At 45.2% G+C, this 18,769-nt stretch overlaps 2 long non-coding RNA genes across 2 annotated transcripts in view, besides 1 other annotated feature; one reads left to right on the forward strand and one right to left on the reverse strand.

Moving 5' to 3' along the window:
• Positions 1-13,225, reverse strand: part of LOC100288069 (uncharacterized) — a 52,876-nt gene extending 39,651 nt beyond the window's left edge. Inside the window, exons 1-6 of the long non-coding RNA NR_168328.1 lie at positions 12,875-13,225; positions 8,762-8,871; positions 7,567-7,698; positions 4,088-4,303; positions 3,139-3,204; positions 920-978 (exon numbers count right to left, since the gene is read on the reverse strand). This is a non-coding gene — a long non-coding RNA (uncharacterized LOC100288069). The remainder of the gene's footprint in view (positions 1-919; positions 979-3,138; positions 3,205-4,087; positions 4,304-7,566; positions 7,699-8,761; positions 8,872-12,874) is intronic.
• Positions 12,942-13,511: an enhancer, noted in NCBI's record as "active region_1". NCBI's record gives its function as "activates an Ori minimal core promoter by ATAC-STARR-seq in GM12878 lymphoblastoid cells {active_cell/tissue: GM12878}" and the evidence as "EXISTENCE:reporter gene assay evidence [ECO:0000049][PMID:35858748]".
• Positions 13,389-18,769, forward strand: part of LINC01409 (long intergenic non-protein coding RNA 1409) — a 31,268-nt gene continuing 25,887 nt past the window's right edge. Inside the window, exons 1-2 of the long non-coding RNA NR_187359.1 lie at positions 13,389-13,683; positions 16,528-16,727. This is a non-coding gene — a long non-coding RNA (long intergenic non-protein coding RNA 1409). The remainder of the gene's footprint in view (positions 13,684-16,527; positions 16,728-18,769) is intronic.

Here is an 18,769-nt window from a genome sequence, read left to right on the forward strand (position 1 = left end):
AAAAATGCTAATATTCTGTTTACCGAAGTCTGTAGTGATATATCCCATTAAATCCAAGTGCAGTGACACACCCATAATCCCAAGCACTTTGGGAGGCTGAGGCGGGTGAATCTCCTGAAGTCAGGAGTTCAAGGCCAGCCTGGCCAACATGGTGAAACCCCAACTCTACTACAAATACAAAAATTAGGCAGGCGTGGTGGCAGAGGCCTGTAATCCCAGCTACTTAGGAGGCTGAGGCAGGGAGAATTGCTTGAACCCAGGAGGTGAGCTTGCCATGAGCTGAGATCATACCACTGCACTCCAGCGTGGGTGACAGAACAAAACTTCAACCTCCAAAAAAAAAAAAACAGCTAGCAGGTGACATTTGCTATAGGGAGACTAGGGATATGATCTTGCTGCAATCCTTCCATTTTAGTAAATCTAAACAGTGTGAATCCATTCTGTTTCGTCCCCACTCCACTCCAGAGCCAAAACAAGAAAATCAATTATATTTCTAGTTCTTTAAAAACATATCTAACTAAATCATCTAATTAAAAGATAATATGCATGGTTCCATACTCTAAAAGAAAACTTATGTCCTGCATATCATGGACATTTGATGAATGCTTATTCAGTTGACTGGTGTAGACTTCAATAATAACCTGTTCAATGCATTATGCCAGATGAATCTTGCATCTCAAAAGTAGAACAAATATTGTTCTTTCAGTTTTGTCTACCCATAAATGCAATATTTACTAATAAAAAGAAAATGAGTTTATTGTTCTAGAGAGTATGAGAATTTTGACAACATGAATTCTCCTGTCCTAGGACATAATTAATACTTAGAGGCATACTATTTCATGTGGAAGCTACCATTAAATCAATGTTAAGTGTTAATTACCTCACATAATCTTCTAATCTGACTTGACTGAAGACGTACCTGACAAAGTTGATTTATCAAGTTGTAAATCTTCACCTGTTGAATTCATAAGTTCATGTCTGAAAGGTGAGAATAAATACTTAATATTCACTAGGCAATTTCAGCAAAGTAATATCCACTAGTACATATTTAACATTTCATCATGAACTGCGGGTGTGAAGAGAAAAGACAGGCTGGGCACAGTGGCTCACACCTGTAATCCCAGCAGTTTGGGAGGCCGAGGCAGGCAGATCATGAAGTCAGGAGTTCGAGACCAGCCTGGCCAACATGGTAAAACCCCGTCTGTACTAAAAGTACAATAATTAGCTGGGCATGGTGGCAGGCACCTGTAATCCCAGCGACTCAGGAGGCTGAGGCAGGAGAATTGCCTGAACCCAGGAGGTGGAGGTTGCAGAAACCATTATCACGCCACTGCATTCCAGCCTGGGCAAGAGAGCAAGATTCTGTCTCCATCAATCAATCAATAAAAATATAAGGAGGAAGCATTTACTGTGTATTTATATGTCTGGTATTATGTGAAGCACTTTACTATCTTATCAAATCTTCGGGACAGGTCTTCAGTTCTCATGACCACAAAAGAGGATACTAAAGCTCAGACAGGAGAAGAGACGTGGCCAGCCTGTGTCCCCAGGGCCTATGGTCTTACCACTAGGTTACAGTGTTTCCAGATATCACATGTTGTGAGATTTTTGCTTTAAAATGAACCAAAAAAAAACCAAAGGTGAAAAAGGCATAAGCTATTAAAAAGTGGGAGAAACACTAAGAGAACCTTAAGCATGTAACTAAAAATATTATGGAAATGTTATTGAATTCATTAGCAAATTTAGTGCTAGGTTTTCATTGAGGAGTAGGTTATATTACTCATGATGAAGAAAAATGTTCCTTTTAAGTATATTAACATAAATACCATCAATATTGTTTATCATGTTTAAATGTTCACTTAAAGCAATTCAGTTAAAATTCTGCATATCATACAATTTTATAGTTTGCTAGTAGGTTACAAGTAAATAGTCACCCAAATAAAAACATCATGTTTTCCACTGGTTGTTGCTCTTTTTTAGGTGAGTATTTGATGTATACCAACAGAGAGAGGATAATAACAAATCGCTAATTTCTTTCATCACTATATAAAGGTGGCTTCAGGATAGAATAGTATCAGGGCAATGATGAATTTGAAATCTAACATCAATTCAGTGATGCATCAAGATAAAAGCAGAGACAACAGGGGCACCTTGGTGAGTACTGAACATTTTATTTATTTACTTATTTATTTTGAGATGGAGTTTTGCTCTTTTTGCCCAGGCTAGAGTGCAATGGTGCCAACCTCGCCTCACTGCAACCTCTGCCTCCTGGGTTCAAGCGATTCTCCTGCCTTGGCCTCCCGAATAGCTGGGATTACAGACATGCGCCACCACACCCGTCTAATTTTGTATTTTTAGTAGAGACGGGGTTTCTCCATGTTGGTCAGGCTGGTCTCGAACTCCCGACCTAGATATCTGCCTGCCTTGGCCTCCCAAAGTGCTGGGATTACAGGTGTGAGCCACCGCGCCCAGATGAATTCCAAATTTAACAAAGCAGACTAAGAGAAACAATTCATTTAAAAAAATAATATTTGGCCAGGCATGGTGGCTCACACCTATAATCCCAGCACTTTGGGAGGCTGAGGTGAGTGGATCAGGAGGTCAGCAGTTCAAGACCAGCCTAGCCAAGATCATGAAACCCCGTCTCTACTAAAAATACAAAAATCAGCCAGGCGTGGTGGCTGGTGCCTGTAATCCTAGCTGCTCGGGAGGCTGAGGCAGAGAACTGCTTGAACCCGGGAGGCGGAGGTTGCAGTGAGCCGAGATCGTGCCACTGCACTCCAGCCTGGGCGACAGAGTGAGGCTCCGTCTCAAAAAAAATAAATAAATAATTCAATGAAATTCCTAAGATCCAGGGCTTTGCAATAAATATGTAAATAAATTTCCAATCTCCATACTGAAAGTTTAAAAGAAATGCTAACTAATAACTAAAGAAATACAACTTTTCCTCAGCTTTGCAGCAATCTAGAAACAAAGTGTGTAGACACTACAAAGCACCTTACAAGGAGAAACATGTAAGGATGGCATGACTCGCCGGCAGCCCTGGGCTTGTCCACGGTACCCCCATGATGAACAGTAACTCCACTGTGTAAACGCCCATGAACATAAGATTACAAGACTTTTCCAGTTTAGACATACCATATTTTCTTTCAGACAATTCTTCAGTTTGTTTACGTAGATCAGCGATACGATGATTCCATTTCTCTGAAAACCAAGCAAAAGTTGCTTCTCAATAACACATCCCTATGTCAGAGCAGCACTAACGTATAATGACTGATGTCATATATTTTACATTCTAACAGTCCATATCATTTTACTGCTTTCAAGAAAAAATTTCCCCTTCTTGGTGGTTCTTAGAATTGGTTTAATGGGAGACTATTAGAGAAGCTGAAAAGCAGGAGGGCAGAAAAGTTCAATCAAATTAAACACAATAACAGGGAGGTCACAATGAGGCGGTCTCCAGGGGTCTTTTAGCAAACTTCCTAAAACATGTCTCAGCTGTGTGAAAATAGACTTTACAGCAGCCGGGTGCAGTGGTGCAGGCCTGTAATCCCAGCACTTTGGCAGCAGAGGCAGGTGGATCACTTTGAGCTCAGGGCAACATAGCCAAAACCCCCCTCCCCAGCCCCACCCCCACCCCGTCCCTACCAAAAATACAAAACAGCAGGGCATGGTGGCGGGCGCCTGTAGTCCCAGCTACTCAGGAGGCTGAGGCAGGAGAATCACCTGAACCCAGGAGGCAGACATTGCAGTGAGCCAAGATCACACCACTGCCAGCCTGGATGACAGAGCAAGACTCCACCTCAAAAAAAACAAAAACAAAAACACAAGGTTAAGAGGGACCCCCGACCTTACAGATGCAAGTTTAAGAGGGACCCCTAAGCAAAAAATGCCAACCCTTTTTCTCCCAATCATTGAAACACCAGGAGGGTGTAACAGTTTTGCAGCCTAGCTGTAGCAGGCTGATGCCCCCAAGATGCCCATATCCTAATCCCGGGAACTGGTGAACATGACCTTATATGGCAAAAGGAGCTTTGCAGATATAATGAAGTTAAGGGTCTTTGGCTTTTGGGGTTGATGTACTCACTCGGATCCTTGTAAGAGCAGAGCAGGTGATGGAGAGGGTGGGAGGTGTAGTGACAGAAGCAGGAAACTCCAGTCATTCGAGACGGGCAGCACAGGCTGAGGAGTGCAGGCCACCTCTACGGCCAGGAAACAGATTCTCCCGCAGAGCCTCGGAAGCTACCGACCCTGCTCCCACCTTGACTCAGTAGGACTTACTGTAGAATTCTGGCCTTCAGACCTGTAAGGGAATACATTTTGGTTGTTTTAAGTCACTAAGTGTGTGGTAATTTGTTGCAGCAGCCACAGGAAACTAGTATTGTAGTGAAGCCTCAAAACCCCCCTGAAGGGGCTGGGCTCAGTGGCTCATGCCTGTAATCCCAGCACTTTGGGAGGCCGAGATGGGTGGATCACTTGAGGTCAGGAGTTCGAGACCAGCCCAGCCAACATGGTGAAATGCCATCTATACAAAAAATACAAAAACTAGCCGGGCATGGTGGCACATGCCTGTAATCTCAGCTACTCAGGAGGCTGAGACAGGAGAATTGTTTGAACCCAGGGGGGCGGAGGTTGCAGTGAACTGAGATTCCACCACTGCACTCCAGCCTGGGTGACAGAGCGACGCTCCACCTCGAAAACAAAACAAAACAAAAAAACCCCACCTGAAGGTTTCCAGTTCTGCCAGCACTCTCCCACCCAACCCCCAGAAACAGACATTCCATTGCTGTGGGCCATGGACAGGCAGAAGGAAGCACCTCCTCATGGCAGAGGCCTACCCAGGAGAAACCCAAGGGAAGGCACTGCTGGGCTGGCCCCTCTCTGCCAAGGCCATATTCTTTTTTTTTTTTTTGAGGCCAGTTTCACTCTGTCTCCCAGACTGGAGTGCAGGGGCACAGTCTCGGCTCACTTCGACCTCTGCCTCCCCAGTTCAAGTGATTCTCCTGCCTCAGTCTCCTGAGTAGCTGGGATGACAGGAGTGGAGCATGCCTAGCTAATCTTTGTATTTCTAGTAGAGATGCGGTTTTGCCACGTTGCCAGTCCACCTGTCTCAGCCCCGCAAAGTGCTGGTATTACAGGAGTGAGCCACTGCACCCAGCATTTGCCAAGACCTTTGATGGCAGGCTTTTTCCAGGTGATCAGTCCTTGTCTGGTCTGGCTCTGCCCCACTCTCCTTCTCACCTAGTTGGAATCCCTAGCTACTTTTCAGTAGAGGAGAGTGTGTACCCCAATCCCAGCTTGGTTCAGATCTGCATTTAACTCATGGAACCTGGCTGCTCCCCAGGTCCTGAAGAAAAAAACGGTCTCTCTGTGGGTATGATAAAGGATGGGCCTGTCCCCAGGACCCTGTGAGAGGGAAGCCCAATGTCCCACCAGGTTGGCAGGGCTGGGGAAGGGAAAGTGTTATGGCAGCCCCAAGAAAAAAAAGAGGCAGCAGAGGGAGCAGGACAGCGCTCACATGGAACTCATGCCACTGCCTGAGGGGGGGGAGGAGTGCACGCCAGTGACGTCAGGGGGCAGAGAGGCGCAGTTCCAGGGTGGCTTTCCCCCTCACTTCCTGCCATGTTACTCTGATCGCCTCCAGGTGAGCCTGCCCACTTTGTGCCCAGGGGCCTGTAGAAAACCACAGCTCCCCATGGTTATGGCCCCAGGAGTGGGGCAGAGCAGGGAGGAGTCCTGGACAGAGGAGAGGCAGGGGCAGGAGGGAGTGGGCCTCAAACTCCAGGAGGGGGCCCTTCTCATGGGTCCTGCTTTCTGGCTTCTCCTTCCTTACCCCTGGGCTGATCACTTGGGGAAGAACTGAGACAAAGTTTCTCGCCCTCAGGCCCAAAGGGTTTAATTACTGGGCCCTTAGGGAGGTGTGAGCCCCCTGAAAGGATGCAAGGTTTTGTTTTGTTTTGTTTTTTGAGACAGAGTTTCGCTCCTGTCGCCCAGGCTGGAGTGCAGTGGCGTGATCTCACCACACTACAACCTGCGCCTCCCAGGTTCAAGTGATTCTCCTGCCTCAGCCTCTGGAGTAGCTGGGATTACAGGTGGCTGCCACCACGCCTGGCTAATTTTTTGTATTTTTAGTAGAGACAGGGTTTCGCCATGTTGGGCAGGCTGGTCTTGAACTCCTGACCTCAGGTGATCCGACTGGCTCCGCCTCCCAAAGTTCTGGGATCACATGAGCCACTGTGCTTGGCCACGATGAAAGGTTTTGTGTGGAGAGCATGTACATGCCTTTCTGGGAAAACAGTCCACAGCGCTTATTCTCAGCAGACTTCACGGTGAAAAAAGGTTAGAACTCTTGCTACAGAGCTGTGGAAGCAGCCAGGTGAGGGGCCTGCCAAGGGCACTCTGGGCACTACCTGGGCACTCTCGAGCCCATCATCCCCTAGGCAGGCTGCACTGCTTGGTATTTGCAGAGCTGAGGGGGTGGGGCATGTGGGGACTGTGAAATCGCCCTGAGATGACCCACAGTCCTCAGCTGGGAAGTGAGCGCTGCATCTCCTGCAGCGTCCTCCATCCCTAGAGCCATGGGGCCAGGAGAACCGGCCCTTGCAGCAAGTGAAAAGCCTATTATTGATTCCCTCCCTAGCCATGTAGACAGTGAACCAAGACACTCATATCAGGTAAATGCCTTGTTCTCTGTTACCAAGGTAACCAGTAGGCATTCCCAGATACAGCGAAGGTCCTCACACCAAGATATGCACCTGGCCACCTGAGGAAAGAGAAAGGACTATCTGAGGGGATGGGGCTGAGCTGGGTGTGGAGTGGTCCTTGTGGGTCTTGGAGAGTGGGAGGGGGAGCAGCATGAGCCAGGCCTCGAGGCAGAAGGACAACCAGGAGACAGCCTGGAAAAAGTGCTGGACCCACAAGGGCTCTAGGCTGGCCAGAGGGGAGGTGGGATAGGCTGTAAAGTCCTGAGGTCTGAAGATTGGCCCTGGCAGGAAGAAACCAGGTAAGGTGGGGTGTTACCTACACCCTCGGGGCCAGATGCAGGCCAGAGCCAGCCAATTACCAGGCCCTTAGGGAGGTGTGAGCCCCTTGAAACGATGCAAGGTTTTTTGTTTTTGTTTTGGAGACGGAGTTTCGCTCTTGTCACACAGGCTGGCACCTTTGCCCAGAGCAGGCACCAAGACTTCTGGCTCTGGGTGTGACCTCAGTCTGGGTAAAAGCCCCAGCCCCCACCAGCACCACCTATCCCCTAGACTACTTCAGGTGCTGAGCCCAAGCCAGGGGCAGGAAGCTAAACTGATACCTAGGGTAATCCCAACAAAGTCCCTGGTTCCCCGCAGCTATGGGGCTGACGGGGAATTACAGCCCAAACCCCAGATGCTGGCTCTCAAACTAACACTGAGCCCTCAGTGCCCACAGGGAGATACAATCAGCGCACTTTCCAGATGGGGAAATGGGATCAGAGAAGTGCAACAGCCTTGCCCAATGCCCCAGACCAGGGCTCCAGGCCCAGAGTGTTCTTTTGTCACTGTGTTCAGAGGGCAGCAGCTGCTGTGATGTACCCACCTGAGCCTGGCAGCTTTCTCCAACTTTGGAAGCCCAGGAGCATGGCCCCTGTCCACAGATGCACCTGGCATGAGGCGTGCCCAGAGGGACAGAGGCAGATGAGTTGCGTCTCCTCCACTGGATTGTGAGGGCCTAGAAGGAGACAAGGGTCTGCTTGAGAAGGCAGTGAACAGCGAGCAGCCTGAGGCAGTGCCCCTCTGGATGGATGCGCAGTGCCTGGATGGAACCTGGCTCAGACAGAGCTCAGTTCTGCAGGTCCCTGAGGCATGGAGAGTTCACAGCTACCAAGTGTAGGAGTCTGGATTCAAAGCCAACGGCGTGACTCCAAAGTCCCTGCCCTAGCCCCTGGACCACCCTTGCAGGCCCATCAGATGCCCAGGCCAGCAGCACAGCCGGCCAAGACCAGGGAAACTTGGGGAGCCTCAGAGCACCCCCAGGTATTCCAACCTAACCCTGGTGCCCCGCCTCTCACCACCCTTCTTCCTGCTTTTACCTCAACCCCTACACAAAGCCTGGGCCACTTAATGTGGCATCAAACAGACGCCTCAATAAATCAGTCTAATCTCGAAAAAAAAAAGGCTTAACAGATATACAATTGCACGTTAGAATGCTAAAGACCATAAACATATAACAACTTAAAGTACATATAAATTCAATATATATCCAATCATTGTAACTATGACACAGTAGAATATTAAAATACTATTTTCAAAATGTATACAAGCTTAATGTTCTATGTATTCAAACTGTTTATTCAAAATACAAATCATCAACATAAATTGCCACTAATATTCAGTCCCTTCACAGGACATGATTCACTGGGAGTTAATAAATTAGCAGCCGGCAGGCAGTGACACACCGCAAAAATGAAAACCAAGAGGTGAAATAGTTCTGAAATAAAGGTTTTAAAGCTAACAGAAATCACTGAATTACTAAGTCATTAGCACTAATTTTGAGCCAACTAACTAATTAATATGAGATGATACAATGTCCTATACTTTGGTAAATACAGACTATGTTTAAACAATGTCTGTAACGTGACTTGTAAAATGCTCCTGGCTTTACAAAGATGTGATTAAGATGTAGTAACACATGCTAAACCATTTCCCCCTGCAGAGCATGTGGTAACTTTCATCAGTCACATTGAGAGTCCAGAAGATAAAGGAAAAGGTCATGGATTTCGCTGAGAACTTACCAGAGTTGAACTCCCTCATTTTCCGTTCCCCAGCATTGGCGGGTTCTGGGACTGGTGGCTGTGGTGGCTCGTTGGTCTTTGTCTCTTAGAAGGTGGGGAATAATCATCATCTTGAAAAAGAAAAAATGGTCATTACTGAAGGAACCATCTTAGGTTACAGCCACCTCTGGGTCAATTCCCAACATTCAAAAGCTGAGCAGGGCTTTAAAGCTATCTTATTAATAATTATTTCTGTATTGCGAACTTCAGCATACTTTTTTCTAGTTACATTTGAAATGTTATTCTTTTGGGATGTGCTCAAGTGAGTACTGCTTTTTCCTCTGCCTTGCTTCATTACTTTTTAGTTTCCTTCATTTGAATCATCATTGTAAGTCTCCCCTTCTCCTCAAATAACTTTCAAATTGCTGCCAAGAACTATGTTCTATCTTAAGGCTTTTGAGAAAAAACTTTCAATGAAGATAGCCGCCTAAAGTTATACAAATATAGAAGAAACGGGATAAAATAAAGCTTAGATTGGAAAAAATATTTAAGATTCTACAAAATTCACGCGTAAACAAGGGAAGCTGAGTAATTGTATGTTCAAATACTTGCAAAACATGTAGGCTTAAAGAAATAGAGCTGGCCAGGCATGGTGGTTCACGCCTATAATTCCAACAGTTTGGGAGGCCGAGGCAGGCAGATAACTTGAGGTCAGGAATTCAAGACCAGCCTGGCCAACAGAGTGAAACCCTCTCTCTACTAAAAATACAAAAATTAGGCCAGGAGTGATGGCTCATGCCTGTGATCCCAGCACTTTGAGAGGCCGAGGTGGGTAGATCACCTGAGGTCAGGAGTTTGAGACCAGCCTAACCAACATAGGGAAACCCCGTCTCTACTAAAACTACAACATTAGCCAGGTGTGGTGGCACATGCCTGTAATCCCAGCTACTCGGGAGGCTGAGGCAGGAGAATCCCTTGAACCCAAAAGGCAAAGATTGTGGTGAGCCGAGATTGTGCCATTGCACTCCAGCCTGGGCAAAAACAGCGAAACTCCGTCTCAAAAAAAAAAAAAAAGAAAAAATTAGCCAGGCGTGAAGTTGCGGTGAGCTGAGACTGCACCATTGCACTCCAGCCTGGGTAGCAGAGCAAGACCCTGTCTCAAAAAAAAAAAAAAAAGAGAGAGAGAGAGAAAGAAAGAAAGAGGGCTACATTATTTATGAAACAGGTACTGTTAACTCAGTCACCAGAAAGCCTGTGTATAAATGAGCAGTGAGATATTCAAGCACAGCACACACACACTTCTCAGGACAGCTGTCGTGAGTGTTCCATGCTCATTTCCTTCTGGATACATCAGCAACTCACTCTGCTATGATCCTGCAATACATCTCATGTTAGAATTAGAGACATCTGGGCCAGGCACAGTGGCTGACGCCTGTAATCCTAACACTTTGGGAAGCCGAGGCAGGCAGATCACCTAAGGTCAGGAGTTCGAGACCAGCCTGGCCAACATGGTGAAATGCTGTCTCTACCAAAAATACAAAAAATTAGCTGGGCATGGTGGCGCGCGCCTGTAATCCCAGCTACTCGGGAGCCTGAGGCAGGAGAATCGCTTGAACCCGGGAGGTGGAGGTTGCAGTGAGCCGAGATCTTGCCACTGCACTCCAGCATGGGGGACGGAGCAAGGCTCTGTCAAAAAAAAAAAAAAAAAAAACAGAAAAAGAAAAAGAAAAAAGAATTAGAGACATCTGGATCAAATCAGCTGCCAGTCTCGCAAAGTGTCGGGTAACATCCTATTAAGCTTGCTGCTTACACATCATCTATAAAATACTGAAAATATCATTTTAAGAAATCTTTTTTTTATTTTGAGACAGAGTTTTGCTCATTGCCCAGGCTGGAGTGCAATGGTGCGATCTCAGCTCACTGCAATCTCTGCCCCCTGGGTTCAAGCAATTCTCCTTCCTCAGCCTCCTGAGTAGCTGGGATTACAGGCATGCACCACCACGCCTGGCTAATTTTGTATTTTCAGTTGAGACAGGGTTTCTCCATATTGGTCAGGCTGGTCTCGAACTCCTGACCTCAGGTGATCCACTGACCTTGGCCTCCCAAAGTGCTGGGATTACAGGTGTGAGCCACCATGCCTAGCCAAGAAACCCTTATTTTAAAACAAGCCAGGCGCGGTGGCTCATGCCTATAATCCCAGCACTTTGGGAAGCCAAAGCGGGTGGATCACTTGACGTCAGTAGTTTGAGACCAGCCTGGGCAACATGTTGTAACCCCATCTCTACTAAAAATATATTTTAAAAATTAGCTGGGCATGGTGGTGGGCACCTGTAATCCCAGCTTCTCAGGAGGCTGAGGCAGGAGAACCACTTGAACCTGGGAGGTGGAGGTTGCAGTGAGCGGAGATCACGCCACTGCACTCTAGCCTGGGTGACAATAGAAAGACTCCATCTCAAAAACAAAACAAAACAAAACAAAACAAAAAACCACTAAAAAAAAGACTCCATTTCAAAAACAAAACTAAAACCAAAAACACAACACAAATGTAGTACACAAATGAAAATAATTACTGTGTTAAACACAGTTTCATAGAAAATAAAAGACCAATCAAATACAATAAGCTGCCTTTTTAGATGGGTATGTTATTCTTCTTTCACAGCTAAAGAAACAGGCTCAGAGAATGTTATTTGATTGGACCGTGTTGCATTTCTGGACAGTGCAGCTGAGATCAGACTTTGTGTGTAACTCCACTAGCCTACCAGGGTGCCTCTCATAAAGCTAAGAAATGTAAATTTGGCCTAATATACAAAGTTGCCAGGGCAGCACTGGGTCAATTCTACATACAGTACTTCTATGTTCATCAAGGGAAACCTTAAGGGAAAGTGAAAATGCTTCTAGAAGGCGACTGGACACCAGCGCCTTTGCTTGTTGCCTTTGGGCTCTTCTTCTAAGGCCAACAGTGACCTGAAATTATTGACTGGCTTTTCAATCAAGTGGACAAAATGGTACCAAGGTCGGCAACATCAGACAAATTTACTTGAGGGCCTTATCTATGCGCTTTGAAAGACAAAACTGCTTTTGTAAAGGACACTGTATTTCAGAAAAACATAATCATATTAACAAATAATAACACTGTAAAATGCTGATGTGTTGAATGCTACTTTAGAAAAACATGCTCAAATCTAGGGAAAAAATTTGATACAAAACTACGTATCAATTATCTAGCTAGCTATCTATCTAGAGACATGCTTTCATTCTATTGCTCAGGATGGGAAGCAGTGGGATTATCATAGCTCACTGCAGCCTTGAGCTCCTGGCCTCAAGTGATCCTCCTGCCTCAGTCTCCTAACTAGCTAGGGCCACAGGTGGACACAGTTATGCCTGGGTTTTTGTTTGTTTGTTTTGTAGAGACAGGGTGTCACTACATTGCCCAGGCTGGTGTCAAACTTTGGAGTCTCGCTGTGTCGCCCAGGCTGGGGTGCAGTGGTGTGATCTTGGCCCAGTGCAACCTCTGCCTCCCGGGTTCAAGTAATTCTCCTTTATCAGCCTCCCAGGTAGCTGGGACTACAGGCATGCGCCACCACGGCCAGCTAATTTTTGTATTTTTTGTAGAGACTGGGTTTCACCATGGCCAGGCTGGTCTCCAACTCCTGACCTCAGGTGATCCACCCGCCTCGGCCTCCCAAAGTGTTGGGATTACAGGTGTCAGCCACTGAGCCTGGCGGAGCACTTTATGTTATTAAGTAGCCTAACCCAGGTGGGTCGCTGTCCCTCACGCCTGTAATCCCGACAACTCTGATGGCCAAGGTGAGAAGATTGCTTCAACTCAGGAGTTCGAAACTGGCCCGGGCAACATAGCGAGGCACCCCCCGACCCCATCTCTAGAAAAAAATACAAAAATTAGGCCAGGTGTCCACCGCGCCCGGCTAATTTTTGTATCTTTTGTAGAGACGGGGTTTCGTCATGTTGCCCAGGCTGGTCTCGAACTCCTGAGCCCAAGCCATCCATCCTCCCGCCTCGGCCTCCCAAAGTGCTGGGATTACAGTAGGGCCCAGCCAGCCTCATGTTTTATTTAGCAGTCCCTCCCTGTTGCACACCTGGATAGTTTTTTAAATTTTTTTAGACAGGGTTTACCTCAATCTCGCAGGCTGGAATGCTGTGGTGGGATCATAGCTCACTGGAGCCTTGAACCTTTGGGTTCAAGTAGCTGGGGGGCTGAGGTAGGACTACAGAGATGGGGTTGCGCCATGTTGCTAGGCTGCTCTTGGCCTGAAGGGTCCTCCCGCCTCGGCCGCGCCAGACATAGTTTTCTATTTTTGACCAACATAAACACTGTGCTGGGTCTGAATTTTTCAGCTACCCTTCTTCAGCCGGCAACACACAGAACCTGGCGGGGAGGTCACTCTTACCAGTCCCCACTCTGATGAGAAAACTGCCCAGCTCCAGGCACCATGGCGCCCCAGTGATGTAGCCGAACACCCGCGCCTCTAACGTCGCCAACGGCCCACCTCTATGGTGTCGGCGAAGACCCGCCCTTGTGACGTCACGGAAGGCGCACCCTTGTGACGTCACAGGGGACTACCACTCACGCAGAGCCAATCAGAACTCGCGGTGGGGGCTGCTGGTTCTTCCAGGAGCGCGCATGAGCGGACGCTGCCTACTGGTGGCCGGGCGGGATGTAACCGGCTGCTGAGCTGGCAGTTCTGTGTCGCTAGGCTTCTGCCCGGCCGCCGCCGCACATAAGCCACGAGGAGGAGCTTTACGACTTCCCGGTCTTCGGCGCCGGGCGCAGCAAGGGCCAGACTCTGCGCTAGCAGGCGCTGCGCGCCAACCGGCCGGCACCTGTCGCAGAAGGTGCAACCGATCGCACTGTCGCGCAGAAGCTCCTCAATGGCCAGCGCCAGCTGCAGCCCCGGCCGCCCACTCGCCTCATCTGAGCCTGGGTACGTGCGCTCCACAACGCCTCCCCCAGCCAGGGCCCGGGGATCCCCGGGAGCGTCCCCGGCTACCTGGCGCCGCTCATCCTGGGTAGGGTCGGCCCCCTGAGGCTGCCCGGCATGAGGGAGTTGCACCCCTGAGCTTGACCTCTGACGGTCCTTTGTAATAGCATTAAGTCTTTGAAACTTGTAGCGGGGTAGAAGGGGCTAGGAAATGAAGAAAACATCTTTTTAAAAATATAAGCAGTCGGCTGGGCGAGGTGGCCCACACCTGTAATCCCAGCACTTTGGGAGGTCGAGGCGGGTGGATCACGAGGACAGGAGTTCAAGACCAGCCTGGCCAGCATGGTTTCACTGAAACCCCGTCTCTACTAAAAACACAAAAATTAGTCGGGCGTGGTGGCAGGTGCCTGTAATCCCAGCTACTCGGGAGGCTGAGGCAGAGAATTGTTTGAACCCGGGATGCGGAGGTTGCAGTGAGCGGAGATCGCGCCACTGCACTCCAGCCTGGGCAACAGACCAAGACTCCGTCTAAACAAACAAATATATGTGTGTATATATATGCGATCGAGCCCGGGAGGTTGAGATTACAGTGAGCTGAGATTATATAAGCGATCGAGCACTGGAGGTTGATGTTACAATGCGCTGAGATTGCGCCATTGCACTCCAGCCTGTGTAACAGAGGGAGACTCTGTCTCTAAAAAATTATATGCAAGTGAGAGCTTTTCTTCCAGCACTCATGCTCAGACTGAAGAAAGTAATTGGGCCAGGCCCGGTGGCTCACGCCTTTAATCCCAGCATTTTGGGAGGCGGAGGCGGAAGTGGGTGGATCACTTGAGCTCAGGAATTCCAGACTAGTTTGGGCAACATGGTGGAACCCTTTCTCTACAAAAATACAAAAAATTAGCTGGACATGGTGGCACGCGCTTGTAGTCTCCGCAACTTGCCGGGCTTAGGCGGGAGAATCGCTCAGCTGCAGCCTCGACCTCCAGGGGCAATCCATTTCAGCCTCCCAAAGTGCTGAGATTACAGGAATGAGCCATCGTGCCTGGCTTTACACTATATTTTAACACTTTTTTTGAAAATGGAAACTTTTACAGGCAATTCACTTCCTTCAAACTAATGATAAGGAAGTGATGCTGTTCTGTTCTGTTTTGTTTTTTGTTTTTGTGGGTTTTTTTTCTTTTTTGAGATGGGGTCTTGCCCAGGTTGGAGTGAGGTGGTGCAAACAAGGCTCACTGCAGCCTTGACCTTCGGGCTCAAGGAATCCTTCCCCGTCAGCCTCCCCGGTAGCTAGGACTACAGGTGCATGCTACCACGCTTGGCTAATTCTTTTTTTGAAATGGAGTCTCACTCTGTCTCCCAGGCTGGAGTGCAGTGGTGCAATCTCGGCTCACTGCAGGCTGGTCTCAACCTCTGACTTCGGATGGTCCACCCACTTCTGCATCCCAAAGTGCTGGGATTACAAGTGTGACCCACCGCGCCTGGCGATTTTGCTCATTTTAGATACTAGAACTTTTTAATTTAAAATTTTTTTTTCCTGAGATGGAGTCTTACTTTGTCTCCAGGCTGGAGTGTAGTCGCGTAATCTCGGCTCACTGCAACCTCCACCTCCTGAGTTCAAGCGATTCTCCTGCCTCAGCCTGCCAGAGTTGCTGGGACTACAGGTGTGCACCACCACACCCAGGAGTTCAAGGCTGCAGTGAGCCATGATCGTACCACTGCACTCCAGCCTGGGCAACACAGCGAGACCCTGACTCCACAAATAAATAAATCAACGTCATATGATCTGTACCAGGGTATAGGCAGGTGCTATGATCCCCACTTTTCATCCTCAACTCTAAGTTGAGTCATACATCAACCTCTAGTAAAAAGTGGCATGCTCTCAGTCAAAGGGGTAAGCCCAAACCACGTGGAGAGAATCTTATCTCTTTTGAGAGCTAATATAAAAAGAATTCCTCCTAGGCATAAAAATATTATGACACCAGTTACTTAGGCTAAACATGCCTATTATGCTAAGTGAGTTATTAACAATAAATACTTTAACTCTGTGCCATGTTAATTATCATAATCTGATTTATAATTTGTTTTAACCTTAGGTTATATATACCTTGAAGCCATTTATATTTTGGTATACTTGTAATAATTACTATACACTGGACTATGTATATTGGACTAAACACGGAGAGTCAAAAAAGAGTATGTGGTCAGAGTAGAAATCATGCCCTAGCTTCCTTCGTGTCTACCTCCTACCTTGAGTAGAAGTGGTAGAAAAAGTAATTACCTAAGATTTTTTGGATTCTGGTTTGTGGAGAAGCACCCTTATATTTAGGCTGATGGGCGGCAAAATTAGAAAGTATTTTTTGTGATTTAGAATTTTATACAGAGATGTTCATTGTGATTAATTATTCTTTGTATTAGCAGATTTTTGCTTTTTATAGCTGCATGATTTCTTGTTTATTATTCATTCATTATTGTCTATTAATAAAGAAAAACTTTATTTCACTGAAGCAGTGATATATAATCCAACTTGGATTTTTAAATAATGACTGACTTTTTTTCTTTGGGAATACATTACTGTTAAAAATGTAATTATTAGATACATTACTTTTAATGAATATAAGTGGTATAATTAGAAGGCTGAAAAGAATCCTTGGAAACGTGAGTTTAATTTGATAGCTAAGAAACTGAGGACAAGATACTTATTCTTTGTAGCATATTTTCTAATGTCATTTCATTGTCTCACCAAGAAATACTTGCATAAAGCAAGTTCAATTACAGTATCTGTTGAATATTTAAGGTTGAGTAAAGTGGGTGAGTTTAACAGATATTTTCCCTTATTTCTTTTAGGCAAATCTGGATTGGGAAAGTTGACATTAATCAACTCATTATTCCTCACAGATTTGTATTCTCCAGAGTATCCAGGTCCTTCTCAGAGAATTAAAAAGCCTGTACAGGTCTAGATATTGGTATTTTTAATTGATGATAAGCTGGAATAATATTAATACACACAAAGCACGTGTTGTAACTTTCATTATGCTTCCTTAGAGGTAAGATGCAAATTTGCCCTTAGCCAGTGTAAGATGGTAAATATGACTTCATAAAATCAAAAAAACAGAAGAAGTACAGTTAATCGAAAGATTATCTTGACTAGAACTTTCCAAATTTGTCCTAAGGATTCTCCTAGAGATGACACTGTGACATAGTAACCAATTCCCCTGGAGTTGTGCTATGTAGTATGATAGTCATTTGCCACATGTTTAAATCAATTAAAATTAATTAAATTAAAATGCAATTTCTCATTTGCTCCAGATACATTTCAAGTGCTCAACAGCCACATGTGGCAAGTGGCTGCCATTTTGTGCAGCACATATATGAAGATTTTCATCATTGTAGAAAATTGCATTGGACAGTGTAGAGAAAACATGATTCATAGAAAAACTATTGTTATTTAAATACAGTGTTCTATATTAGTCAGTGGGATAATACCATATCATAGTTGAATGGCAATAGCAATTCTGTAAGACTCCCAAGCTATATGTGATCTAATTTACTGCTTCTCAGTCTTTGCTATGCATTCCAATCCTGGGTATCCTGTTAAATTTATTTCTTCTAGTAGTTCTGAGATGGGCTGCCTTTCTACATTTCTAACAAGATCCCAGGTGATGCTGATGCTGCTGGATGGTAGATCACACTTTATAAAGCAAGGGGCTAGACTCTAGATATGCACTTTTTATTAAATAGTACAGCAGCCTGTAGCCACATGTGGCTATTAATCTTTGAAATGTGGGTAGTCTGAATTGTGATGTTCTGCAAACATAAAATATGCCACAGATTTCTAAGACTGAGCATGGAAAAGAAAATCTCCATAATTTTTTATATTGATTGTATACTGCAGTGATAATATTTTGGATGTATCAGGTTAAATAAAATTGACTGATTTCACCTTTTTCCTATTTTAAAAGTGGCTACTAAGAAAATTTTAAATTACTTACATGACCGACATGGTATTTTTATTTGGCAGCGCTGCTCTAAGCTGTTGATGAAAAATATTGTTGGTGAGCTCTGCTTAGGTAATATATAGGACATGAGCAGAGAGGAGGCACGTGAACAGTTCTGGCCTGGAGTAGGCTTCATTGAGGCTGTGATGCTTTTAGCTGGATTTGAAGAAGTGGTAGTGATCATCCCAGTGCACAGGATAGGTGGACAGTCTATGTATTCTGAGCAGTAACTCATATATCTCATACTGCAAGACCCCAAAGGAGTAATTTTGTGAAGTAAATATCTTATTTCTCCTTTTTAATGTTTCTATTTTAGGAATTTTTTTTTTTTTTAGTAACCTTCATAGGGCTTGAGATTTAAAATTACCTGCAAAATTCTACTCTAAAAACTTGATCCTACATGCTTATTTTGTGATAAATATTGGAAATTTTAAACCTAAGCAAGAAAATGAACTTTGAACTTTCTTAATTTGGGTATCTATTATGAATACCTTCACTTAAGTATTTATGAATTTAGATATGAAAGGTAAAACTAACCACTATCCAAATTAATATACAGTTCATTTCCAGAACCCTAGTTTCTTCCATGTGCTCACTTGCATTCAGTATTACAACCCCCAAAGATAAACACCTTACTGACTGCCTTCTCCATAAATTTGCCTGTTCTTGAATGTTATATACGTATACTTTTTTGTATCTGTTTTCTTTCAGTGAAGATTATGTCTGTATTATTTACTCATGTTGGGTGTAGTTGTTTTTTTCATCGTCGTATAATACTCCATTGTGTGAATGTATCAGTATATCCTTTATTATTTATTTAAACTGACTTAAATGTTTTTTGACACTTTGGTTATATTTAAGAAGTTGACTTCTCTAATTTCCTTGTCATGTTTATTTTTAAATATCTTTCTCTTTAAAAGTTGGGATACTATAATAAATATTCAGCAAGTATTTTGTGTTTAAATATAAAATCTTGTTATTTGGATTTTAATACTTTATATATAGTATTTATATATATAAACATAAACAAAACTAAAGACTCTATGAAAGAATCAAATGGATTTTCTATAACTGAAAATTTCAATGACTAA

This window comes from Homo sapiens, chromosome 1, assembly GCF_000001405.40.
Source record: "Homo sapiens chromosome 1, GRCh38.p14 Primary Assembly".
NCBI lineage: Eukaryota > Metazoa > Chordata > Mammalia > Primates > Hominidae > Homo > Homo sapiens.